The sequence below is a fragment of the Homo sapiens genome, chromosome 12 (assembly GCF_000001405.40).
Source record: "Homo sapiens chromosome 12, GRCh38.p14 Primary Assembly".
In the NCBI taxonomy this organism is placed as follows: domain Eukaryota; kingdom Metazoa; phylum Chordata; class Mammalia; order Primates; family Hominidae; genus Homo; species Homo sapiens.
The window spans coordinates 52,705,461-52,733,316 of record NC_000012.12 but is presented as its reverse complement, the minus strand read 5'-3'; the positions used below and the strand labels follow the sequence as shown (position 1 = coordinate 52,733,316).

Genomic DNA, 27,856 nt, shown 5'->3' with positions numbered 1-27,856 from the left:
CCACTGTCCATAATCCTCATGGTGCCAGGTCTCCTGGGGCATCTAGGGCAACGATGCTGCTGCAGTTTATACACTTACACAGTCAAGTCTGTGCCAAAGGAGGTCCCATCAGACAGCCAGGTTTCTGTTCAGTCTGGGGAGCAATGCCAACTGGCTGCCCCCATAGCCTGGCATGAGCTTATGGCCCAGTGCAATCCCAAAGCAAAGAAGGGCAGAGCTGGGCCAAAAAGCTGTGGTAATTTGCTCTCCCTGCCTCCTACAGCATCGTCTTCTCCTTTTGCAGCCCCACATGCAGGCTTCCCGACCTGAGGGTCTGGGCTAGGGAGTCGGATTGTTTTCCTAAGCCTCCATAACCCAAGAGTGAGGACCTGGAAAAAGGGATGTGAGGGTTCTGAAGAACAGGCATGAGGCAGCTTTGGAAATGCCCTCAGTGAACAGGAAGAATGCTGTGTCAGGCAAAGATGGTCTCTCCCCGGCGCTTCTTGGTGAGGATGGTGCCTGGCTTATGCTGGGCATCTGGGTGATTGGCTAGTTTGGGGGGACAGGAAGACACTGGGCTTTCCAGGATGGCTTGCTTCAGCTCGTAGAAAACTGCAGAGTCCTCTTTTGTGAGGAAGGTGATGGCCACCCCACTCTTGCCTGCTTGTCCCATGCGGCCAATGCGGTGGATGTAATCGTCAATATTTTTGGCCATATCATAGTTGACAACCATAGACACATCTTGGATGTCAATACCATGACCAGCCACATCTGTAGTCACCAAGACATCCTTGGCCCCAGGCTTGAGGTTGGACAATGCAAACTCTCGCTGCTCCTGGCCTTTTCCACCGTGCAGTGTACAGGCATTGTACCCCATCTTCTCCAGGGATTTGGCCAACACGTCGCAGCCCTTCTTCTGGTTGACAAAAATAGTGATGGCTGGGTCAAAGCCTTGCTTCAAGATTTCCAGCAGCTTTTTCCTCTTTTCTGACTCTGACATGAGGAAGACCTGTTCCACACGCTCATGGGGCTTGCCTGCGGGGTCAAGGTACACCACAGCAGGTCGCCGAAGATAGCTCCTGGCCAGACACTCCACTGCTGGGGGCTTGGTGGCCATGAACATGACTTTGATGGTACTTAACGTTTTCCTGACTCAAAGTTGGCCAGCATCTTCTCAGGGTCCTCAGACTCATCGTGTCTGGCTTCTGATTGCTGACAGGCATGTGCTCCAGGATCTTCTGGACATCTGGCTCGAAGCCCACGTCAATCATCCTATCTGCCTCATCCAGAACCACGTAGGTACAGCAGCTCAGCACCAGGTAGCGATTCTCCAGCACATCAATCAAATGCCCAGGGGTGGCGATCACAATCTCACAACCCATGAGCAGCCTGAAGCCCCAGTCTTCTCTGGAGATGCCACCAATGACAGCCACAGTTGGATATCTAGCAGCTTCCCAAACTTGACGGTCTCTTCCTCAATCTGTTGAGCCAACTCATGGGTGGGAGCCAGGATGATGGCATAAGGGCCTTAGTCTGACTCTTCGATCCTGTCAATTTTGGGAAGTGTGGTGATCTAGACTAGCAGTGGGATGAGGAAGGCTGTTGTCTTGCTGCGGCCAGTCTCAGCCACACCAATGATGTCACGATTCTGTAGCCCAAAGGGAATTGCCTGACGCTGGATAGGTGTTGATTCCTTGTAGCCACACTTATCAATGACCTCCAAGATGTGTGGCAGCAGAGAAGACTCTTTCCAGGATCGGATGGGATTGGGGATCTTGCCACCTTTGGTGGTGATGCTGTAGCCCTCACGGAAGAGCCACCAGTCCCTGTCCGTCATCTCATCTAACTTTTTCTGAGACCAATGACGATCATCCCAGCGCACTTGGCTTCCTTCTTATGAAGTTTGCAGAGTCTTGCCTCCTCCTGCTCCTTTTCTTTCAGGGTTCGCCTCTTTTCCATTAGGTCTCCACAGAAACGTGACTGCTCTTGAGGTCAATGCCTGTAATGAAACCTTGCCCTAACAACTGCACCTGGTGCCGTTCTTTGTACAGGGGGTTGTAGTCAATGGATGTATCCTCAGATGCATCCCCCTCAAAAACAAACTTTCGGTCATTGAGATGTCTTGTTTGGTGCCGCTTTTTGATGCCACCCAGGTAATGCTCCTTAATGGCATGCAGTTCTTTGCTCTTATCCTTCTCTTCCCGTATCTTCTGCTGCCCTTTCTCATCCTCATTTCCACTGGTCTCTGGCTCCATCCTCTCCCTGTGTTCCCTATGTTCCCATTACTGAGAATCTTCCAACATCTTCCTGCCCAAGTCTTGGAACTGTTTCCTTTTCTTCCTCTCCTCTACAAGCATCCTCTGCTGCTCTTCCACCTCCTGCTGCCGTTGCTTTAGAGCTTCAGCCTCTTGTTCTGCTTTGGAGAGGAACTTGGGCTTAACCTCAGCTTCTTCCTTAGCCTTTTTCTTGGCCAGAAGTTCCTCCAGGGATAACAGCTGGGCCTTAGGCTTCTTATCACCATGTTCATCCTCTTCATCCTTCTTAGAGTCTCCATCCTTCCGAGATTTAAAGTCTTTTCCTCGGCCAGGAGAAACTGGATCGTTTCTGGTCCTTGTCCCATCTGTGCCCATCATTGTCTTGATATTGGTCCTTCTTATTCCAATCCCTCTCCTTATCTCATTCTTGTTCTTCGTGCCGTTGTTCTTTTTCTGCAGATTTGGAACGAGAACGAAAGCAAGAATGGCTGCCTCCTCGATGTCTGTTCCTTGAATAATGCTGCTTCCTATCTTTAGATGGGGAAGACTTCCAGTTCTGGTCTCTATCTTGCTCTCTGTCAGGAGTCCATGATCGCTTCCTTTCCTCCTTGGAAGGTGATGCATCATGGTCCTTTTTGTCAGCCAACTCTCCTGTCATCACCCGGAGTCTGAACTGCCCAATGCGGCCTCAACGTCGTGGAGCTGTCGCCATCCTCAAGCCACTCTTAACCTAAGTTTAATGACCAGGGTAAAAGTGGTTTCCACTTCCCTTCATAACCATTACGGACAAGTATAGGCTTTAAGCAAATGAGAATATGCCCATCACTGGTCTGCTGTAATTATGGACCAGTACAGGCTTTAAGCAAATGAAAATATGCCAATTGCTGTTCTGGTGTTCTCCCTCCCCAGGTGGCCAAAGTGGACCTGGAGGTGAAAGTGGAGAGCCTGATGGATGAGATCAACTTCCTGCAGCCCCTCTCTGAGGCTGTAAGGCCCCCTTCCTTCCCAATATATGTTTAAGATATGAGTGATTCTCTTAAGCCCTATTTTTTTTTCATTCATTGCTTTTTTTCCTTCACATTTATTACCACACCATCTACTCAGATTCTGAGACCTTTGAAACTATTTATCTATCAAATATTCTAACTCCCTTTCTTTTTTCTTCCCCCTTTTCTGTGTCCCCCACATCTATGATTGCCAGTGCCTATGGATAACATTCTTAGAGTCTCCTCCCCAATCCAAGGTACCTGGACAAAGAGATGCATGCATCCTGCAGTAGGATTAGAAGACAGACGCCTTTTCATTCTTTAGCCTGCTGGCTGAGATTTCGGCCTGCATCTTGGTCATCGTGTTTTTTAGTGGCATCACTAAAAAGCTAACTTTGGGGGTTTGTGGTAGGGGCCTGTCCATTAGATGTAAGCAGAATTGTCTTTGTGTCTGCAGGAGTATAACCAACTACTGTCGGAATCAAATGACATGTCCGTCATCCTCTCCCTGGACAACAATTGGCACCTGGACCTGGAGAGTATCATTGCTGAGGTCCACGCCCAGTACGAGGAGATTGCTTTAGGCTATTAGGAACAAAGCTGCTCTGAGCATTCTCGTACATGGCCCTTGGGGAATCACGTATGCACTCCGTGTCTTTGTGTGTACCCAGCAGTGGCGTTGCTGTTCATAGGGTATGCATACGTTCAGCTGTAGTAGATACTCCAGACAGTTCCCAAAGTAGCTCCAGGAAGGCAGGGCAGTTCTTACTGACACTAGCTATTTTCTTTCTTTTGAATTTTAGCTTTTCTGGATGGGGACTGTTATGTATCTTTGTGGTTTTAATTTGCATGTCCCATAGTGGCTAATGACGTAGAGCTCATTTTCACATGTGTATTGCCCATTTGGATACCTCTTTGGTCCCGTCTTTTGAACATTTTTCTATCGGTGGGGTTGTCTGTCTTTTTCTTACTAATTTATAGCGGTTCTTTATATGTTCTGGATATGAGTCCTTTGTCAGATGCGTAAATTATGAATATCTTCTCCCACTCTGGGGGGGATATTTGCACTCTCTTAATTAAGCTACTTGACAAGCAGAATTACTTATTCAAAATTTACTTCTTCTAATTCATCATATTTTTCTTTCTTGTGGTGTTTTTGTGTCCTGTTTAAGAATCCTGCTCTATGCTCTCAAGGCCATGGAGACATTCTCTGATTTCTTCTAAAATCTCTACTCTTTGGCCTTTCACACTGGGGGTTTTATAACATTTCATTTAAAACATGAAAAGACATATAAATCTACTTAATCTTGGTGGTGAACACACAGGTGTTTGCTCTATTGTTTTCAGTATGATTGAAATATTCTATAGTTAAAAATAAAATGAAAAATATTGAAAAATATTAAAAAATAGGTGTTTCCCTGGGTTCTTTCTTTTTTGCTCTGTTCTTTTCATGTTGCATATTGTTCCTGGGTGAGTTTGCCTACTCTAGTTTCACTCATACATTTATTCAAATTTCATCTAGCACCAATCTGGCCCATGTACCATGGGGGCGGTGGCCACAGAGATGACTATAACATGGATGCCCCCTTAAGGAACTTACAGTCTAGTGTATATCGGGACACACAAATGCAGGACATACAAATCCTATTCCCAGGAACAGCTATTCCAAAGAACAGCTCAGAGCTCATGCTGTCTTGAACATGTGTATCCTGTCCTTCCTGTCTCTTTTTCTTGTCCCCTTTTAAAAAACTTCATTGAGACATAATTTGTATACAGTAACAATGCACCCATTTTCAGAGTACAGTTCCATGAGTTTTGACAAATGTAAATCCCTGCGTGACCACAACTGCAACCAAAATATAGAATATCTTCCAAAATGCTCTTCATGCCCCTTTGCAGTCAATCCCCTGCCAATCCCCAGCACCAGGCTGAGGCTTGCTTTATGTCACTATAGGTTAGTTTTGCTGTGTTTAGGGCTTCATAGGAATGCCATCATGTAGAATGTACTCCTTTGTGTCTGGCTTCCCTGGCTCATTGTAATCTTTCTGAGACCCTTCAGGCATATGTGTTGCAAATATAAATTTTGTCCCAGTCTGCGGTTTGCCTTTTCATGTTCTTTTTTTTTTTAAATGTATATATGTAGAATTTCTTTTTATTTATTTTTTATTTTTTATTTTTATTATACTTTAAGTTTTAGGGTACATGTGCACAACGTGCAGGTTAGTTACATATATATACATGTGCCATGTTGGCGTGCTGCACCCATTAACTCGTTATTTAACATTAGGTATATCTCCTAATGCTATCCCTCCCACCTCTCCCTGCCTTTTCATGTTCTTAATGATGTGCTCCAAAGGTGCCTGCCCCTTGGAGTCCCTGCTGATTGGTAAGTGGCGCTTCCCAATCAGCAGCATTTGTACCTGTATCTAGAGCTGAGTGCTTGGCTCAGCCCTTGGACTAGATCCAACTCTATGTCCTGTGTGAAGACAAGTGACTCTCTCTTACCCTTCCCCTAGCCTTTTATAAAAATGGGGACATTTTCTCCTTTAGTAAAATTGCTTACATTCTGGGAATTAGTCCATCAGAATTAAAGCAAACTGGAGCTTTAAAAAAATCCAGGTGCCCGGGCCATGCTCCCTGATTCTGATTCAGGAGACCAGAAGTAGGGCTTCAGGATCTGGATTTTTAAAAGCTGCCCAGTGGTCCTGATGTGTAGCTGCCCACAGAGCAAAGTCCCAAATCTGCAGCATAGCACAAAGAGACCAATGCAATCAGTTTCAACCTACACCTTCAGCTCCTTCCCCATCATCTCTCCTCCTCCATTATGACGCCTATACTGAACATGTGGGATGCCTTACCAATACTTCCCCCACCACATTAGATTTCCCTCTCTCTACCAGTGGTGTCTTTTTTGAATTGTCCACCCACTGGGCCCACTCCGACCCCTCCCTCAGTACGCTACTCAAAATTACCTCCTCTATGATGCCTTCAATAGCCTTTCTTCCTCTCACACCTTAGTACTTTGATCTACTGTCAATAACGCTGACTCCAATGTGCTCTAAGGTGTTATTTACATGCCTGGTACTTCCTTCAACAAAACTGTAGGCTCCCCCAGACCATGAACTGTATTTTGTGTGTCATTGTCTTCTACTGGGAAGCCTTCTGCTGACACAAGCAAGTGCTCCACGAATCATTGCTGAGTGATTGAATAAATGTTTGGAGAGATGACTAAATGGATACTGGTCAATGTTGCATCTCTTAGAGGGAATGAAGTTCTAGGGGAAACCCTTCTGGACACTCCTTCTTGGATTCTCTGAACAGAACGCAGGAGCACCCATTATGCCTGACTCTAGATCCCTGCTCCAATTTTCATGCTTCTTGGCAGAAACCAGAGCCAGTGGTTGGGTTGAGATGGCTTCTACTTTCTGACTGCATCAGTTTTAAACCTACTTCATGCTTAATGCTTTTGTCATTTTCATTTGGGGCTACAGGTTGTATGAAAGTATTTTGTCTGTGAGTCACAGAGGGTGTGTGTCTGTGTGTGGCATGTTTGCCCATTGGTCTGTCAGGGTAGATAAATGAAAGGACTTTAACAAGTTCAAGACACTCCACAAATGCCAGATACTATTAAGTGTCATGTACACGTGTGAGGCTATGGCTTGGCTTTTTTAGGAACCAAGAACTTTCTGAATTGTATAAGTTTGGCTGGGAGCTGGGTGGGTGTATGTGCCGGGTATGGGGCCTGCCCTCCCATGGCTTCTACACTGGTTGAGAAGTAAGGATATTTTTCTTTGACTTATAGACACCATAGGGACAATGAGTGTCCCAGGAGCTTGAGGCCAGGAGAGCTCAGGGGGCCAGGCTGGTCATATGAGGCATCGTGTTGGGGCTGGGACTTTGGCTGGTTCCTAAATGAGTTGGCTTAGGGTGGAAGGGAAATGGTTTTAGGTCTAGACTGTGGCCCTCTCCTGGCCCATCAGCTTGCATAATCACACCCTTGATCCTGCTGAGGAAGGAGCAAGCTGGGGCAGCACAAACCATCCCCTTTGCTGGGAAAACCATGCAAAGTGCCCTTCTAAGGACTATGCTTAGAGAAGCACGGAGTCCTGTTTGTGCCTTTTCTATCAATTCCACACCACTTTGCAAACATGATCAAATACAGGTCAATTGCTCAGAGTCAGGGCTTGTTCTGTAAGCTGAGAACTTACAGACACAGAAGGAAGGGACAGACACAGAACATCCTGCCAGTGCCTGCACAAGGAGCCTTTCCAGAGCTCTGAGTCGTATATGCCTCAGTCCGTAGCATGTGCTCCAGGCTGGGACAGAAACTGAACTGGAGGCTTGGCTCTGCCACTTATTGGCTGTGGGCCCCTGGAAAAGTTGTTTAACTCCTTAGCCTCAGTTTCCCTCATCTGTAAAAAAAGAGCTAGAGGGTTGCCATGAAGGTTGAAAAAGTCTATAAGTGTCAATTTAGAGCCTGCTACCTGGCTAGCATTCTACGGCCTGACTCCCTGCTGCCGCTGTGATCCCTCAGTTCCCAAGGCGCTCCTGCTTTCTAGTTTATAAGGCCCTTTTTGTACTTCACTCACCTGGCCCTTGATGGGCTCAGGAGTAGAGGCTCAACAGGCAGAGAAGAGGTTTATCAGCTCTACTTTACAATGGGCTAAAAGGAGGCCCAGAGGAGCCTGGAGACTGGAACTTGGGGCTCTTGCCTTTATCCAGGGTGCTTTCCATGGCATTGTTCTGCCCGCCTCCTGGGGTAGGTAGGTCTGCGCACATTGAAGAGGCTGCCTCACTCCCTGGGCCTTCTCCTTCTGGGCTGGGCCAAGTTTCGAGCTGCAGCTGCCTGGCCCAAGACCTTTTTTCCTAAGTTTCAGATGCCATGAGGCTGGCCCTCTTCAATGAGACTCAGCTCAGAGGTCACCTGGTATTGAAGAACAGTTTCTGGCCAGGCCCGGTGGTTCACACCTCTAATCCCAGCGCTTTGGGAGGCCAAGGCAGGTGGATAACCGAGGTCAGGAGTTTGAGACTAGCCTGGCCAATATGGCGAAATCCCATCTCTACAAAATTACAAAAATTAGCCAGGCATGGTGGTGGCTGCCTGTAGTCCCAGCTACTTGGGAGGCCTAGGCAAGAGAATCAATTGAACCCAGGAGGCAGAGGTTGTAGTGAGCGGAGATCACACCACTGCACTCTAGCCGGGGTGATAGAGTGAGACTCCATTTAAACAAAACAAAACAAAACCAACAATTTCTTATGGAACAGATTCCCCTTTGACTGCAGGGCACAGAGTGGGACAGTCTGCCCAGGGAACCAGAGCTGAACTCCTCCTGGCTCATGCCCAATCTGCCCCAGGGCCCCATCCATGTGCTCCCCTTGAAGCCTCCCACACACACAACTCTGTCCCAACTCTGCTCTCCCCACTTGCCCTCCCTGGCCCAGCATCATCTGCCAACTGCCATGCCATGTACTGTCAAGCTCTGGCCTCAGCCCTGGGTGCTGCATTTGAGGGCCCCATTTCCCTGAGAAGCTGGGACTGCCTCATGGCAGGAACAATGGCAGATGCGGTTGTTCCTCTGCCCTTGGACTCCACTGGTGAGGGCACTGCTGCCCCAGAGCAGAGGGGCCTCGGTCAGGTGCCAGCCTGGGAGGCATAGCCATGGCCACGGAGAGGAGGGAGGGCAGGGCTCAGTGTCTCTCCTGGGGCCTCTGTGCCCTCATCCCCAGGAAAGGCCCGTATGGTTTAATTCTAGGGTTGGCGACTCCCTGGCTAGCAGTGCACTCTAATTTTTTTGAAGAGGCAACAGAGGAGAATAGCTGGACTTTTCTAGTTTGCAGGTGTGGGGGATTGGTGGGATTTGCCACTGCTAATGAAGGGATTTGGGATGGGTCCTCATTAGAGCCCCAACTTCCACCCTAATCTCTTTGGGATTTGTTCTTGATGTTAAAATGCAAACTGACTTCTTTGCGTATTCAGACTGGGCCAGGTCATTGGCAGTGGCCAAGGGGTGGAAACCAGTGAATTGTTCTGCAGAGTTCCCCTTCAATAGCAAGGATTTACAAATGGCAAGTGGGGGACAGGAGGATGGTGGGACACCTTTTCTCATTTGCTCCTGGGGCCTCTCTTGACAAAAGCATAGGCCACACTTGGAAACCAAAACATGACTTGGATTTTGGAGTCAGGATCCGCCCCATATGTGAGCAAAGACAGCGGTTTTATGTTATGTTGCTGAGCCCCACCATCAGCACGGGAAGTGATCCAGAGGGCAATGGGCCCAGGAGTTTCCAAATTGTTTTTAAACAGCAGAGTCTTTCATTTCAGAGATCAGCATGGAGGTGTCAGGGTGGCAGTGGTGATGAGACCAGAACACTGCCCACTGCATCCCTTTCTCCCACTCATACCTCATTTGAACCCTGGGGCTTCAGTAGGTCCAACGTGAATCCTCTACTCAAGTCTGAAGCCCTCATTGTGCAGAGGAGGAAACTGAGGCCTGGCAAGGGGAAGACTCAGTGGCTGAGTTGAGTTGGGACCTGGGTCTCCTCTCAGTCTGTGCCCCTATTTGGATCCAGCTGCCATATCTTGGTTTCTTAGGTCAGCAAGGAGCTTTGAGCAAGAATCAGGGCCCTGGGGGATGGGGTAGGCACCAAGGTTTTGAAGGTGGTGAGGACGATGTCTACCTGTGGCACGAAGGGCTGCATGGGGAAGAGTGCCCTGGGCAGGGATTTGTGATGAGCGTGTCCATCCTTGTGGGCATGCCTGTGGTTCTGTGATGTCTGTTTGTGTGTGTGTGTGTGTGTGTGTGTGTGTGTGTTGGTGTGAATTTATGGTGTGTTTTGCTTCTCTCTCTCTCCACCGAGTTCATTCTCTTCCACTTTACTTGAGGGTCTTTCGTGACTTGATGGAGAGGAATAGGGGCTTCCCTGAGGTTTGGCAGGTCACTGGTTTGAACTGGCCCTCCCTCCAGTGAGCTGGCAAGGGAAGAAGGAGGTGCTGAGTGGCTAGGAAGTCAGGTCTGAGCAAAGGGGAGAAGGTGAGATCAATGAGAGAAGGGTTCTTGGATGAGCACGGATCAGAGGGAATTGGAGGTTAGATTAGAAGAGGAAAAGGCAAAGGTCATTTTAAAAGGGGCTGGCCTTTGCAGAGGCTCATTTCCAGCCTTGGTTTGTGCTGTCAGGATTGGTGTCATCAAAGGTAGTCTTTGCTGCCAAAGGTAAGTAGAGGTAAATGTTACAAAAGTGAGTAACATTTCATGTCACACAGAACTTCTTCCAAATATTATGCCCCTAACAGACTTAAGAAGAAGCCCTTGTTATTCTGAAATTTTACTGGTGAGGATCTGAGCTTCCTAGGTGGTGGGGGTGGTGTCTCACGTGAACTGAAGGAAGAGGGTCTTGGGAATCCTGGATTCATTTTTGTTGTACAAGTTTGGAAGAGGAAAAGCTGATGGTTTTTCTGGCCTGGCCCAAGTGGTCCATTCTCTCTACCCTGCCCAGGCTGGCCTCAGCCCCTCTCTCTGCTCACCCTCTCCTAGGGCACTTGGCAGTGACCTTGACTTCTTCTCCAGCCATGCTCATTCCTGTCCTTGTCAGACTGATTCCTCTCTCCTCCCCTGCAGCTCTCCCTCCAAGGCCCCTTAGAACCCAGTTCTAGGTGTCCCTGTGGCTGAGAACTTGCTCTTTGTGCATTCATATGTGCACCTCCTCCCTGAAGGATGAGGTCCTAGAGGCAGCTGCTGTGCATTCTTGAACTTCTGTTGCAACTTCCTTCTCCTTGTCAGCCACAACGTCACCTTCACAGCCCTCCCCCGTCCTCTCCTTTCTTCCTTGGAGTCCTTGCCTGGGGTCCTGCCCCCACTGGGGCTGTGCACCCATCCTGGGAACCTCCTGAGGCTGGCTGGTCTGGCTGAGTGGCTGAGGGGCAGAGAAGTGCTGACCTGTCACTCTCAGCATGGGGTCATAGATCTCTTGGGGATTAAGGGTTGTGTCCAGCCCTACAGGATTGTTCCTCTCCCAATTTAAGGTTATTTCAGGGAAGTAACCCTGGGAAAACAAAGTAATTTGGAAATTTGGAGGGATTATCAAGGTGTGTTGCATATTTTGAACTCGACCTCTTGCTGCCAGGCAAACCAAAGCTGCTAATACCTCAGTTAGGTGGCTGGCACCATCAGCCAGCCAAGCTCCCAGGCTCTACATAAGGGCCATCCCCATCCCAGAACTTCAGAAGGCTTCTGAGTTTCCTCCAGCCTTCTGAGCCCACCCTTCCTTTGGAAGACCTTGCTGTCTGCCATGAGTCGCCAGATAAGCTACAGCCAGCAGCCCTGCAGGTCTTCTGGTGGGGCCTACTGCCAGACCTTCAGCAGCCACTTAGCAGTGGTGTCAGGCCACAGCTGGATCAGCTCCATCATGTCCTCCTTTGCCTCCAGCTCAGGAAGGGCTGGTGGTGGGTGGGTCTGCTGCCTGTGCCATGATGGGGGGAGGTTTCTGCAGCCAGAGTCTCCATGGCCTTGGGGGGAAGAAGACGATCCCTATCAGTGTGGCTGGAGGTGGCACCTGGGCTAGTGGGTTCAGCGGGGCTGGTGGGTTCGGGGGGCCTGGTGGGGGATGTTTTGGAGGCAGTGGTTTTGGAGGTGGTGGAAGAGGGATGGGTGGAAGCTTTGGTGGAAGAGCTGGGGGCTTTGGCGGAGGAATTGGAGGCTTCAGAGGAGGAGCCAGGGGTTTCTGCAGAGGAGCTGGTGGCTTTGGTGGTTCTGGAAGCTTTGGTGGTCCTGGTGGCTTTGGTGGCCTCCGTGACCTCAGTGATCTGGGTGGCTTCCTGGGTGGAATCCAGGAAGTGACTGTCAACCAGAGCCTTCTTCAGCCCCTCCAGGAGACTGACCTTAAGTTTGGGCAAGTAAAGGCCCAGAAGCGGGAGCAGATCAAGACCCTCAACAACGTTTGCCTCCTTCATCGACAGGTGAGCCCATCTCAAGCCAGCTAGACAGTGAGGAAATCTGGCTCAGTTGTGTTGGTCTTTTTTTTCCCTCTTCTCCTTATGAGTCTGAGGAAGGAGTTGTGGGTTCACCCAATATGTCAAGCCCTCTGTGGTATCTCAGCAGTAGTGGGCCTGCTTACAGCAGCAACAGGTGAGGAAAACGCTGTAGCCCCTCCCTGGATGGAGGTGCCATCCCTCTGTGTGCCCCGTCCCTCGTCTCCTCAGAGGGGCTGCTGAGGCTGCTGCTCTGGGGACTGCTGGCTGCCATCATTGATGTCTCCTAACCATTGCCTTCTGAAACCCAAACGCAGAACTCCCCCTCCATCTCAGAGGATTTGCAAGCTGCTCGTCTTTGAAAGAGAGGATGACTCTGCCCAAGCTGAATTTGTATTTGAGGGATGAGTCAACCTGCCATCAGCTTTGTGACGTGAGATGAGGGTTAAGGGGCACCTCCTCCTAGGTGCTTCTCATAGGATGATTTTAGTGTGAGGAACTGCAAATGTTGACGGCATGTGAGGCTTGTTTGCACGTATACGTGCAAGGGCCTGGCTGAATGAATGGTTTATGGGGGTGTCTGCGTTCTGGACATTCCATGCAAGGGAAACCATGGCAATGACAGTGGTGACTGTGTGGTGTCTGGGCTTGGTTAGCTGCTGAGAGTGTCATCAGTACTCTTGGGGCACAATGTGTGGAGATCTCTTTGTGACCCTGGGGTAATAGTAGGCCTCACAGAAAGGGCTTGTAGTGATTCTTTGCGGGGTCCCATTTTCATATGTGTCCTGGGCAAAGATGAAGAAGTTAGTCTTAACATTGGAACATCACACCTTTTTAGAGGTGAAGCTCTTGAAAGTTAAGTGACCTTCTAGAGGTACCTAGCTGGTTCCTGGCAGACATCTGGGTGTCTGGATGAATTTATTTACAGAGGCCGGGTGCGTTAGTTCACGCCCGTAATCCTAGCACTCTGGGAGTCTGAGGCAGGTGGACTACTTGAGTCCAGGAGTTTGAGACCAGCCTGGGCAACATAGTGAGACCCTGTCTCTACAAAAAATACAAAAATTAGCCAGGCATGGTGGTGCACACCTGTAGTCTTAGCTACTTGGGGGGCTGAGGAGGGAGAATCGCCTGAGCCCAAGAGGCAGAGGTTGCAGTGAGCCAAGATCACGCCACTGCACTCCAGCCTGGGCAACAGAGTGAGAACCTGTCTCAAAAAAAATTTGTTTACAGAAAAACAGAAAGTGATGCTGAAAATGCAGCTGCGCCACAGCAAGTGGGTTTGGCTGCCCAAGGTCTCAGCAGTAGCCCTTATCATCCTCAAAGGGGCCTTCTGAGATCTTGGAATCCTGAGTGTCTAGTATAAGGCCTGACACTTGCTTGGTGCTCTGCAAATGTTTGTTGAATGACCAGTTGATTGATAGTTACTCCCCTGCTTATATGGCTAGCCTTGAATTTTGTGCAGAAATGTCTCATAGCAAATAAAAGTTTGAGACATCTTTAGCCAGTGGTTAAGTTTAAATGCAGGGCTCAGTTGCATCTAGGATCCTTCTTGGGAAAAGGTCAGCTTGAGAGACATTTCTCTGTGGTTTTCTCTAATTCCCGCCTGAGTGCAGTGTACCCAGGATTGTAAACATCTTTCTGGAGACTGCATCTGCTGTAGAATACTCACTAAGTACCTATGGAGAGCCCATGGTGCTACTGTACTTGCTGTACACAGAGTTGGCACCAGAAAATTCCCCTGAAAGCTCTTGGCAGCTCAGCCATCTCCCTCTGGTCCCATAAATAGTTGAAAAAAATCAAAATTTCTCCAGAAAGCCTTCTAGGATCAATCAGAATAGTATAAGGAAGGGGTATCTACTTCACTGTCCAATTATCATCATCATCATTATTAAGTGGTGCCTGGCACATATTAAGTGCTAGTAAATGTCTGTAGAATGAACTGGGTCTTACCTGAACCCAGAAGGCCATACATTGGAAAGATGCAGGCCTTGGGCTAAACTGGTGGGACAAGAAGCCCTGAATCCATGTGATTCATGGGATGTGCTCTGGGTCCATGGGGATGACTGAGAGAAGGCAGACCACAGGTGACCTTTTTCTCACAGGTATGAAGATGAGGTCAGCAAGTGCACAGCTGCAGAGAATGACTTTGTGGTCCTGAAGAAGGTGAGGGGCCTCTTCCCAGCTTCCCACCCCAAAGCCCTGCTAACCTGAGTGGTTTGAGAGTGGAGGGGAGGCAGAAGCTTAGTGCTGTTGATCTGAGGACTTCTTGTAGGCCCTGCAAGTGAGGGCCAGGAAGAGGGAGGAGGCCAGACAGGGTTCAGGCCCCCGCAGCTCCCTGCCCACACCTGTTGAAGGGTGTGAAGGTCCCAGCAGCCTTTTGCCAAGTCCTTTCCTGATGGGCATGCAGAGTTTATGAACCTGATTAGGCCTTAAGTTGTGATTACAAAATGGACCAAAGGAAGAAATAATTTCTTTCTTTTTTCTATTAGGAGTGCATTCCCAGGAGCTATTTAAAGAGAGAGACTTTGAGTGTGGCAAATTTAAATTCTCCCTCAGACCCCCTTCCTCACATATTCTTCTCCCCTGGTCTCAGTGTAAGGGCCCCAGCCCCAGACTTCATTCTTCCTCTCACCTTATAGTCTCTTTGTGCCCTTCCCTGGTGTGCGTTCACCAGCCCAGCCTGCAGAGTACTTGGTTTAGCAATGTTAGGGTGCAGCTGCCTGTGCCTGGATGGGGTCTCCTTTTCCCTGAGTGGGAGCTCCCAGGGGCAGGGCCCCATGGCCCCTTCTTCCTGCCCCTTTCCATAGTATGCAGGACTGGACAGAGCCACAGGTTGTGGAGACAGTGACTGAATTATCTCCCAGGATGTCGATGCTGCCCACATGACCAAAGTGGAGCTGGAGGCCAACGTGGAGAGGATGATAGGCGAGATGAACTTCCTGAAAGCCCTCTACGATGCTGGAAGTCTCTCCTCATTGCCATTCCTCGGGACTCACCTGCCCTGCCTCCTAGAGGAGAGGGCATTTAGAAGTCCAGCAGGACTGTGAGTCTGTCTGTCCCGACCAGAGAGACACTGGCCCACCTTTGTGGGTAGTTCTGTTCTCTACCTGCACCATTCGAACCTCTGCGTCCTCACCTTCTTTCTTCTGTTGTAGAAGTGGCCATTGCCTTCCAGAAAAGCCTCTAGTGGTGGTCCCTCAGTCCTGAGCACCCCTCTCCTGAGCTGGTGGCTTCCCGAGCTCTGTTGGGAAGCCTAGTGTGGGTCTGCTCAGGAGGGGGCATGTTTGCTTGGCCCTGTGGGAGCTGTCCCAGATGCAGTCAGACACCAGCGACACGTCTGTGGTTCTTTCCATGGACAAAAACCGCTGCCTGGACCTGGACAGTATCGTTGCCAAGGTCTGCACCCCGTATGAGGAGATTGCCCAGAGGAGCTAGGCCGAGGCCGAGGCCCTGTACCAGACCAAGATGGGTGACAGCATCATGTAGCTTTGGAGAATCTTGCTCCCCCATCAATCTGCCTAGACAGTCCACACAGGAGGGCAGACCCTGCCTCCAAGCCATTCTTCCCACACCTCCATTTGGCAGTTACCTCATCTTCCCACTGGTCTGGTCTTATTAACAGAGAGCTTTCTTCCCAGTCAGAAAGCTCTGACTTTGCTCTAACCCAGTGCTTCTCAACAGAGAGTGGGGAAGGTACGATTTTCCCCCATGGGACATTTGGAAATATCTGCAGGCATTTTTGATTGTCATACCTAAAAGTGGGGTGGGGGTACTAACTGGCATCTAGTGGGTAGAGGCCAGGGATGCTGTAAACATCTTATAATGCACAGGATGCCAGCCTCTGCAAAAAGAACTATCATGCCCAAAATGTCAATAGCGCCAAGGCTGAAAAATTCTTAACCTAAATCTTTCTTGCTGCATCCCCTTTATTGTTATTTCGTGTTAGAAACTCTTCCATTTCTCCTCCACAAAGGCTCTGCATCTACTTGCGCTTCTGATCACACTGAGGTGTTGAAGCTGGTATCTGGAACAGCCAAGGGAGGGGGATGAGCAAAGTCTAACTCCACAGGCCCAGGGAATTCTGTACATTTCCCTCCCATTCCCCAAATCTGAATGAGACAGAGTTGGTCCATCTACATTTGACTCTTCCCCTGGGTTTTCTGCTGGTTAAGAAAGAAGCTGGCTCCAGCATCTGGGATGTTTGCATTCAAGTGCCCACACTGTCACTCCATAGCTGGATGACTTTGGTCATGGAACTCAGGCAATCTGAGTCTCAGTTTTCCTTTTGTATAAGGTGGGGATAATAATGCCTTTCTCATCAAGTTGTTGTGAGGATGAATGAGATAAAACAGAGGGTCTGGTGCACAGCGACAGCTCAACAGACAGTAGCTACTGTTCTGGAAGACAGGGCTTCTGGTGTGGGGAGAGAGCACTGGGTCTGTATACGACTGTGCTCTGGTTTTTCCATTTGTGGTATGAAGGTGTTGAAGCAGGTGAGCCATAAGACCCCTTTTCTGAAAATGTGACTTTTCTGGACACAGTTGGGGGAGCAGCAGACCACGGCCAGCAGGCATGGGGATGACCTGAGGAACACCAAGAATGAGATCATGGAGCTCAACAGGATGACCCAGAGGCTGTGGGTGGAGATCGAGAGCATCAAGAAGCAGGTGGGGATGAGGAGGAAAAGAACATGACCAGGGCTGTGGGCTTATGCTTCCATCATGACACTCAGGCCTAGCACCTACGCAAAGCAAAATCATGCCCCCACTCACGTACACTAAGATTTCCTGGGTGATGTGCTGGGCTAGCGCTGAACTAAGATTGTTACGTGGATTTAGTTTCTGCTTCCCTGGAGCTTGAAGGTTGATATGGGATAGAAACTGAGTAAAGACATGATTAGGTGGTTGGAGAAAGAAGTTGACTGTTGAAGACTGAATTCGGGGAGTAGCCAAGGAAGCCCACATCTAGATGGGCTAAGGCAGAGAGAAGGTTTCTCTGATAATTCATGAAGACTTCCTGGAGGAGGGAAGTTTTCAGAAGATGCTCAGTTATTTCCCATAAAAAAGGAGAGAGGCACAGGAAGGGTCTGGCTCCTCCTGAGTTGGTATAGCCCCTTAAAGCCAGGTGTTTCTAATCCCACTCCCTGGTGTGCTAGGACCTAGATCCCAGCCCAGGCTTCTCTGCTGACCAGCTGCATAGCCTTTAACCCCTGTGCCTGGGGTTTCCTCACTTGCCCAACATCAGGTAACACACGTGCAAGCACCAAGCACACAGGACGGGCCGTCAGTGAATGACATTCGAATCTAAATTGGACTCCTGGCTCCCCACACTAAGAACGCCAAGCTGCAGATGACCATCGCTGATGCAGAGCAGCGCTAGGAGGTGGCCCTCAAGGACACCAATGCCAAGCTTCAGGACATCAAGTCTGGACTGCGGCAGGCCAAAGAGGACCTGGCCCTGCTGCTTTGTGCGTACCAGGCGCTGATGAATGCCAAGCTGGCCCTGGACGTGGAGATCGCCACCTACCGGACCCTCCTGGAGGGCGAGGAATGCAGGTGAGAGTCCGTCTGGTTCCCAGGAGGCCAGAGGCCTGGGGCTTTCCTGCCTGAGCGTGCTGCCAGGTGTGGGAGCTGTGCGTTCTGTGGGAGGTGGCGGTGGCCATTGGCAGGCACAGCCTCTTGTTCAGGGCTGGGAGATGCTGTCACACCAAGAAAGCTGTGCTTCCTATGCCATATGAACACGTTAGCGCCTTACCTGGAATAACGTCCTATGTTTTAGCTATACAGTGTATGTCTGCGAAGATGAAGGGTCATAGACATAAATGTTATTTCTAGACCATTTCTTTATTAATGCCTTAACTGCAAGTTTTTGAAGAGTGTGTTCCCGTACACTGGCACATGGGTATAGGGCTCTGTCCCATGTGGGTTCAAACAGCATTTGCTAAATGAAGAGTATCCTGAGGAGGTGGAGAGGATGGGTGGGTCCAGAAATGTTCTGTATCCTCTGGTCTGTATCCCTTTGGGAGATGTCAGTGGAAAGAGTAACACTTTAACCTTACCCAATAGAAAGAAGAATGTGTTTTATGATTTTCTGAGCACCCGTCCAGCTTATTTCTCACTCTCTACATCAATCAGGAGGGAATGGGGGTGGGGTGACCAAGGCTCTCCTTGCTGTTGACCTAAGGAAGGCCGTTTAAGGAGAGGGAGGAACTGAGCGAACTCTCTGGTTTTCCTCACAGGGTGTCTGGGAGGTGCCAGAGTTCCGTGATCCTAGGTGAGTATTGGGTTCTTTCTCCGGGAAGGGGCTGGAGGCCTCGGAATGCAGTTTCTCAAGCCATGTGCCAGCGCTGGTGCGAGGCCATCAGGCCTGCAGGCTGGAAGAGCTGTTGGTGGCTGTTTTGGAGGAACCAACCTCCCCTCCCCTCCTTGAAGCCTGTCCTCCCCACGCCTTGCCGGATCTCGGCGGGGCGTCACCCCGGGAAGACCTGCGGCTCGGGACTGTGGGAGGGGCTGGCGTGCCGGGCGGACACTGCCAGGCTCCCTGACCCCGACCGTCTTTGCAGAGACTGGCCACAGCAGCACTGGCGGCGGCTGCGCCCTGGGAGGAGGAGTCGGAGCCCGGGCCCGCGGCGGTAGCCGGGGCCGCAGCGGCTGGGGCTTGGGCGGGAGCTCCGCGGTGCTCGGGGGGCTTCTCTGGCTCCGGGACTCCTGCGCCGTCAGCCGGGGTGGCGGCGGCGGCGGCAGCAGCGCCGCCAGAGAGAACAAAGCTCCTCCTAGAGCTGGCGGTCCCGCCACAAATTCTGAACCCCGCGCCAGGGGCGTCCTCGGACCCCAGTCCCCTTCGCCCTCCGGCACGCCCCGCTCTGAGCTCCCCCGCACCCCCGCGGGGCCCCTTCCCTCCGCTGCTTCTGACCTGTGCCCCGGAGCCCCACCTTCCCAGACTGCTGGCATCGCAGCAGCCCGAAAGTTGCCGCGAAGGATGAGTAGGCGGTAAACCCTCAACGGCGGACTCGGCGGCTCATGCCTGTAATCCCGGCACTTTGGGAGGCGGAGGCGGGAGGGTCACTTGAGCCCAGGAGTTCGAGGCTGCATTGAGCTAGCATGGCACCACTGCACTCCAGCCTGGGCAAGTGAGCGAGACCCTATCTCTAAACAAACAAACAGAATCTGAAAAAACATCCACCCACACAAGGCAGTGGCCAGGAGCTGGGCCCCCATGTCACCACTTGTGCCCTGAAGGTGCCCTCACCCCCGCCAATGTCCCACTGCCTTATGGGACAGTTCCAATCGGCCCATTCCCCTCCCTGTAGGCAGGGCCTCCCCGGTCACCACTTCCTGCTGGTACTTTGATTTCCCGTCTTGGCTTCAAGAAAGGAATTCTCTGTTCTGTACAATCTTCGATAAAGTGCGTTGTGCTTCAGACATCATGGTAGAATTTTTATTCTGGTTTCCAGGTCATTGAGACTTTCTTTGTGGCCAGTGGGTCATTCACAGTCCCTTTCACACACACAGCTCTGGTCTGAGCTGGGAGGGGGACCCTGGGGAGGAAGTACTGAGAGTTCCCAGGCTGGAGGGGCAGGGCCTTTTCACCCAAGAGATACTATGGATGACATACATCAACCTTCCTAATTGTTCAGATTTGAATTCATAAACATTTCATTTTATTTGAAAAAAGTCGTAGGTTAGATTTCCTTGTTTTTCTAGTAATTCGAAATATGTATGAAATTATCCAGTAATCACAGCTAATTATAATCAAAGGAGTTGCTGGTAGTCAAACATTTTCAAAAGCAATTATAAAAATTCAAATGTTTTATGGCAAAAGTTATATATGCCAGGGATGTATGTTAACATGTTTGATATGATGTGGGGCGGAGCCTTCAAATATTGACAGTTATGAGAACAAAGAACTTCAAATGGTTTGGTAACAGGTCACCTCCACCCTCATCCCTACCCCTACCCCAGATGAGAGCACAGAATACAGGCAGATCCAGGAATACTTGGATAAAACAGAGGTTTGGTGCCGGATGTGGGGGCCCCTTGCAAATTAGGGCATGTGAGTGGGAGAAGTAAAACATAAGCAAACATGCAAAGGCATACGTGCATGGTGGCCTTCCTGGTAAAATGCTCACTAGTGTGGGGGACTGAGAAAGGTTGTCAGAGAAAGCAAGAAAGAGACAATTCTCCTTGATAACAGATCAGAGAAACTCTTAGCTAAGTACACAAAAAGCCAAGAGGGATAGCCAAAGGCTCACCACACTAGAAAAACAACACATAACTACAGCTTCAACAGAGAATGTTCCTGCTGTAGGGTGAAGCACTTATCTGGGATAGTCTAAATCAGAGAGCAGGAAGCCTGGGGACTGTCCACTGCAGTTTGCACTGGGAGGGGCTATGGCTTCACCTCTCAAAAACAAGCCCACTGTCCAAGGATTCTCTTTTCTCCACGCCCTCATTCTTTTTTTCTTTTTTATTATTATTATACTTTAAATTCTAGGGTACATGTGCACAATGTGCAGGTTTGTTACATGTGTATACATGTGCCATGTTGGTGTGCTGCACCCGTTAGCTCGTCATTTACATTAGGTATATCTCCTAATGCTATCCCTCCTCCCTCCCCCTACCACATGACAGGCCCTGGTGTGTGACGTTCCCCATCCTGTGTCCAAGTGTTCTCATTGTTCAATTCCCACCTATGAGTGAGAACACGTGGTGTTTGGTTTTCTGTCCTTGCAATAGTTTGCTGAGAATGATGGTTTCTAGCTTCATCCATGTCCCTACAAAGGACATGAACTCATCCTTTTTTATGGCTGCATAGTATTCCATGGTGTATATGTGCCACATTTTCTTAATCCAGTCTATCTTTGATGGACATTTGGGTTGGTTCCAAGTCTTTGCTATTATCTCCACGCCCTCACTCTTATCCTTTATCTTTTTGATATAGCCATCGTAACAGTTGTGAAGTAATGTCTCATCGTGGTTTTGATCTGCGTTTCTCTGATGGTTAGTGATGTTGAACACTTGTACACTGTGGGTGGGAAGGTAAGTTTGTACAGTACAGCCATGATGGAAAACAGTATGGAGGTTCCTCAAAACATTAAAAATGGAACTACCATATGACCCAGCAACTCCACGTCTGAGTATATATCCAAGGGAAATTAAATCACTATCTTGAAGAGATATCTGCACCTTCATGTTTACTGCAGTTTTATCCACAATAGCCAAGATATGAAATCAACCTAAGTGTCTGTTGATGGATAAATGGACAAAGAAAATGTAGAATATATACACAAAGGGATATTATTTAGCCATACAAAGGAGGAAATCTTGTCATTTGGAACAACATAGAAAAATGGAGGACATGATGCTAAGTGAAATAAGCCAGACATTGAAAGACAAATATTTTAGCTGGGCGTGGTGGCACATGCCTGTGATCCCAGCTACTTGGGAGGTTGAGGCATGAGAATCTCTCGAACCCGGGAGGTGGAGGTTGCAGTGAATATTTCAGCCTGGGCGACAGAGCCAAACCCTGCCCTGTCTCAAAAAAAAAAAAAAAAAAAAAAAGACAAATACCTTAGAATCTCACTATATGTGTAATCTAAGACAGTCAAACTCATAGAAATGGAGTTGAAGGGTGGTTGCCAGGAGTTGGAAGTAGGGGTGGGAGAAATGGGGAGATGTTGCTTAAAGGGTACAAAATTTCAGTTATTATGAAATTTTCTCTATGGTGAACAAATTCTCTAAATGAACAAGAAAAAGCAAACCCACATGTGCCTCCTAAGCAGTGAATGCAGCTTGGAGAGATTGCCCTTTAGCTTAATGACAGAGGAGATACTTTTGGCTTGTTTCAAACTCATCAATAAATTGCCATCTTCCTTTAAATAGATGATTAAAGAAAAGCTTGTCTGCATCTTTTATATGATTTACAATATATTACAGGGCCACAGTTTCCTGCTTATGGTGACTTTCTAATTTAAGGGAAGCTGGATGGAAAATGCAGTTTGGTTAATAGAAATTTACTTTTGTAATAATGTAATAATTGCTAAAGTAGATGATCTCTTGTTATTTGCCTGACATGTGCTGAGCTTTTTCTGAATTAACCCATCTAATCTTCACAGCCCTGTGAGGTAGGCAGTGTTATGGCCTCTGCTTCACAAAAGAGGAAATGAAAGCGCAGAGAGATGAATGAACTTATCCAAGGTCATGTAACTAGAAGGGATGGCACCAGGATTCAAACTCCAGAAGGCCTAACCTCAAAGCCCTCCTAAATTGCCCCATAAAGCAGAAGATAAGATAGTACAGCAAGAAACTCTCAGGCTTTGGAACCCAGCTGCTAGGTGTAATCTGGGCCCACTCCTTACCAGGAGTGTGTGACCTTGAGCCACCCTCCAGACCCCTCACCCAAAAGTCATCAGTAAAATGCAGTTGTGTGGATGGAATCATGTCATCTGTTTAATTCTTGGCACATTGTAAGAGCTCAATAAAAGGTCATTACTAATTATGGCCAGTGTTTCAGGAACCTGTCTATTCTTTAAATGAAGAGAATAATACACTGCAAATTCCTTATGGTTATAAAGCACTGTAATCTCTCCCATCATGGTCAAGTGAGACACGAACCTGGAATTGATGGCAGGTCTCATATTACCCTCAGGGACTTGGAATGCTGGTCCCACCCCACCACTAACTACCCCTGTAACCTTGAGACTGGCCCGTCCTCTTTGATCCAACATATAGAAGCATTCTCTGCCCAGACAGCACCATTCCTCCGCTGGGACCTCACTGTTTCTTTTGGAATTCAATCCAAGTCTAACCTGTAGCCTTATTTTCCTTTGGGGCCACACCTGCCTAGCTGCTCCCTTTGCTTCAGAGACAAAAGAGTTGCCAGGCTGAGGCACAAGAATCACTTGAACCCGGGAGGTGGAGGTTGCAGTGAGCATTTCAGCCTGGGTGAATTATAAACAAATAAATGGTTGTATAAATAAATAAATAAATGATTGTATAAATAGTCATGACTTCCAGTATGTTGGATGGAAGAGCTTTGACACGCTTGGCACAATATTGTCTCTGGACCTTTGCCGTGGGAATTTGCAAGCTGCCCTTAGTGAGGCCTCTAGACAATATCCAGGCCCAAAAGCACCTATTGGGTTTGCCGAGAAGGAAGGAGACTGCCCGATTCTTATGCTCTAGGCAGACACTGAGATTCTAGTTAAAGGGATGTCAAAGTGGTGTCCAGGCTAGTTTTGGGCCTCAGTAGGAGCTTAAGGCCCTAGGTGTTGCCCCAAACACACACCCCAACCCAGAAATCAGAGGATTCACCAGGGATGTTCCTGTGTGCCTGGCACCACCTTCTCATGCCTGCGTGCAGGCTTGTTAGAGATTGAAGGTGGAACGCCCCATATAGTCATCTCTCCCAGGCTGCAGGAGCACAGAGGCACCTGGGAATTTCACATAGGCCTCCTTATTCTTTCTGAATTCGGGGGAGGGTAGCCAAGTTCTCATTCTATCTGCACCACCAACTTTTTTGGGTAACTTTGGCCAAGTCCCTGTCTTTGTACCCATTTCTTCCTTGTAAAATGAAGGACTGGGCTGATACCGTCCATCATATGTTTGGCTGTGATGCTGTTACGCAGGAAGAAGAGTGGGCCAAGGGTGGGGAAGCCAAGTCTAGCAGCTTCTATTCAGCTCCAATAGGTTTCTCTCCGATATGTGTCACATCACTGCCTCCCCTGTGCTGACGACAGGTCAAAAGGCTCTCATTTCAAGGAGGTTAAAGGCCCCCATTCCTAGACCGGGGCTGCAGCTCTCCACTCTCTTCTTGGTGGGGACTGGTGAGTGAGAGTCTCTCTCCCTTCCTTTTTCCAGCCCCACGCCCCTGACACACCTCTGTGATATCCACCTCCAGACCCTGGGAAATGTAGGGTGAGGTGGGGGATAGAGCTTTGGGAGCTGCTCCTGCTGGTCATGCCAGCAGCTCTTCTGAACCCTGCTTCCCGCTGCTGTCTGGAACTGTGATCCAGGTGGCTGATAGTTGCTCTGGGCCTCACCTTCTTGGCAGCCCTGGGTTTCAGTAACTGGGAGATGGGCTGGGTGAGCTGCAGCCTTCAACTAACTTCCCACTTTCCTTTTAAGGTGGCAGGTGGGGAGAGGAGGAAGCGGGCACATCTCTCTCCAACGACCCCATCTCTTCTGCAATACATGTAGGTTCTGAAGTGGGAATGCGCGGGTTCAAATCTCCATTCCACTATTTTCATTAGTGTATTCTTTGACAAGATTCTCTTTCCAAGTCTCACTTTCTCCATTTGCAAAATGAACATAGTAAGAATATCTTCCTTATGATGTTGGTATTTAGATTTCACGAGACCTTCCATGTTATAGACAGCACAGTGCATGGTCCATGGAAATCACCTGGTGAAGTTCACTATTATGATAATGATTGTTACTCCTATCTGTGTCCTTAGACTGAATGGAATCTAAAGAGGCTGTTTCATTTGTCCTGTTTCCTCCAGGTCAGTGGTCTCCAAACTTGCTGCACATTAAAACCACCTTTTAAAAATTCTAAAGTCCAGACCATAGCCCCAGACCAATTAAACTCTACTCCTTAGGTGTGGGCCCAGGCACCAGCGATTTTGAAGCTTTCTAGGTGATTCCAGTGTGAGCCAGTTTAGAAACCGCTGCTCTCTGCAGTCTAACCAGCTGAGGAGTTTCTTTTAGGGGTAGTGATTCGTCCTAGGAACATTATTTACCCACTAATATTGATCTGAGTTGAAACACTTCCTTTGAGACAAGCAAAATCTCTCGTGCTTCACTTTAAGTCATTTTTTTTTCTTCTGAGGAAGTAGAGCATAGCTATCACCCTCCACCAAAAGCTCAGTTAGTGGGTGTGTCCCTCCTCCCCTCCCAAGCCCTTCAAGGGATGACAACAGCCCAGCAGGGGCCATCAGCTGACGGGAGGTAGATGACAATGTTGGCATTGAATGCTGAAAGCTGATCATAGACAGAGATCAAAGAAGCTTCCTAAACTCTGCTGTCCGGGACTTCCTTTTTTATGTTATCACAATGGAATATTTTCACATTCAGCATGACAGTATATAGAAACCTGGGCGAGTGCTGAACAAATTCCACTCAAAGACATTGCTGGAGCCCTCTGTGACCGAAGCCAAACTCAGGCCTCAGGGTTTCCCAGTTGCTCCCTCGAGGCAAGGGGGCCTCTTCATGGCTCCCCCATCCCACCCCCTCACATGCCCGTTCCTTTCTCTAGGCCTTGGCACGAGCAGTTTCTCTGGTCCTTCCCAGTCCCAGTCCCTACAACAGAGCACCCTCTCACTGGCCTACAGTACATCCTTCGAGGTTAGCTTGAGCTTGCCTTTGCTTCTGTGAAGCCTTTTCCAGCTGCCTGTCTTTCTAAAAACTCTCATCGCATTCATAGGTCTCAATGCTGTAGCCACAGCCACACAATAACACCTCTCGTAAGAGCAAGCCTTTTAAAATATTTGTTGTCTTCAAGTGCTCTATTTAAGGGTCAGATGAATAGCGTTCAGGGAACTCAGTGATTAGTTCAATCATAAAACTGGTACATGGGGGGAGCTGGGCTTTAACTCCAGGGGCACTTAATTGTGGGGCCCAAGCTCTTGGTTCTCTAAGCTGTCCACGTCTCTTTACTTTAGCTCAGTCATGAAGGCCTTTGTTATTGGCCCACTCTGCCCAGCAGTTGCAGGAAGAAAGGGGCTCCTGGTCCATGAAGTCTTGTCCCAACAGCAAGGAGCTTCCTGTTTGTTTAGGTGGCAGTAGAGACAGATGCGAAGGGGTTAATTATGTGTATTCTTCATGAGGAGGAGGTGGGGTTGAAAGTGAGTGGTGCAGCCGGAGAGAGAGGTGGGTTCACAGGGAGGGGTTGGGGAACAGAACCTCACTTGTGTGACTCCTTGGGGCTTGCAAAGTGCTCTTCCATATTTGTTCATAGCCATTCATTACTATCACTCTACAAAGCTGTTATTTTATATATATATATATTTTGAGACAGAGTCTCCCTCTGTTGCCCAGGCTGGAGCACAGTGGCGCCATCTCGGCTCACTGCAACCCCTACCTCCCAGGTTCAAGCGATTCTCCTGCCTCAGCCTCCGAAGTAGCTGGGATTATATATTTTTGTGTTTTTAGTAGAGACGAGGTTTCACTATGTTGGCCAGGCTGGTCTCAAAACTCCTGACCTCAGGTGAGCCACCCACCTCTGCCTCCAAAAGTGCTGGGATTACAGGTGTGAGCCACTGTGCCCGCCTGGTTACTATTTTCTTTATTTTAGAGGTCAGGAAACTGAGGTTCAAGGAGTCAAGTGTCCCAGCCATGGGGCTAGGAGGGGGCGGAGCCAGGAGTCAGAGCTGGGTTTCAAGATGCCCAACTCAAGGATCTGTTCGCCACACCACTGCTGTTTCCTGTCTGGTACTTACTGTCCCTTCTCCTATCAGCCCCCATTTTCTCAGCCAGACCCCTACTTCTTCCCCCTGCTCTGTTCTTTCTGCCTCTCCTCTGATATCTGACTCAGAATCCTGGTCTTCAGGCAGCTTTCTCACATGAACCCACCCCTTTCCCTAGCTTCACCTCTCTTTCCTTCCTCTGCTTCTACTGGTTCTCTCCTTGTCACTCTGTGCTGGAGGCTAGGCCCTGGCTTCCCTCTCTTACCTTAGGGTTAGGAGTATGGCTGTGTGGACCATAGGTGCCTAGGACTAGGGTGACCAACTGTTCTGATTTGCCCAGGTATATCTTGGTTTAAGTACTGAAAATCCTAGGCAAAGCAGGACAGCTGTCATCCCACCAGGATCTGTGAGCAGCTATTTCTGCTTGTTTAGTGATTCCAGTGCTCTGCTTTTTTCTCCCCACATGACTTATATATAGCTTTGAATCCTTGAGAAATAGACACTTTGGTTCCTTAAGTGTCTGAGAGGCTCTAGGTTCCTTAAGTGTCTGAGGCTCTAGACACAACCAGCAAGCAGCAGAGCTTCTGCCTATAAATTTCAGGCTCATTGTCTCCTCTATCACACAGTGTCTCCTGGATGACCCACTGAACAGATACCATGTACGGAATGCAGAGGTTCATGAGAAGAGGGTGTGGAAGCTTGGAATTGCCCTTGGAGCATTTCCCTGTACCAGGATGACTTTTCACTGCGGCGCCCCCACAGTGCTCTTGTTTCTACCACCTGTTCTTCCCCACCTCTATTGGGATTTCTGCCACAACTTTCTTTTTTTTTTTGAGGTGGAGTTTCACTCTTGTTGCCCAGGCTAGAGTGCAATGGTGCAATCTCGGCTCACCACAACCTCTGCCTCTTGGGTTCAAGTGATTCTACTGCCTCAGCCTCCCAAGTGGCTGGGATTACAGATGTGCCACCATGCCCGGCTAATTTTTTGTATTTTTAGTAGAGATGGCATTCTCCATGTTGGTCAGGCTGGTCTCGAACTCCTAACCTCAGGTGATCCGCCTGCCTTGGCTTCCAAAAGTGCTGGGATTAAAGGCGTGAGCAAAAAATATTTATTGCAATGAACATAAAGAAAAAGGACATTTAAAACACCAGGAAAATTCAGCCGGGCACAGTAGCTCACGCCTGTAATCCCAGCACTTTGGGAGGCTGAGGCAGGTGGATCACCTGAGGTCAGGAGTTCTAGACCAGGCTGGCCAATATGGTGAAA

At 49.0% G+C, this 27,856-nt stretch overlaps 2 pseudogenes; one reads left to right on the top strand and one right to left on the bottom strand.

Moving 5' to 3' along the window:
• Positions 1 to 254: 254 nt before the first annotated feature.
• Positions 255 to 2,947, bottom strand: LOC400036 (DEAD-box helicase 23 pseudogene; annotated as a pseudogene).
• Positions 11,514 to 19,179, top strand: KRT126P (keratin 126, pseudogene; annotated as a pseudogene).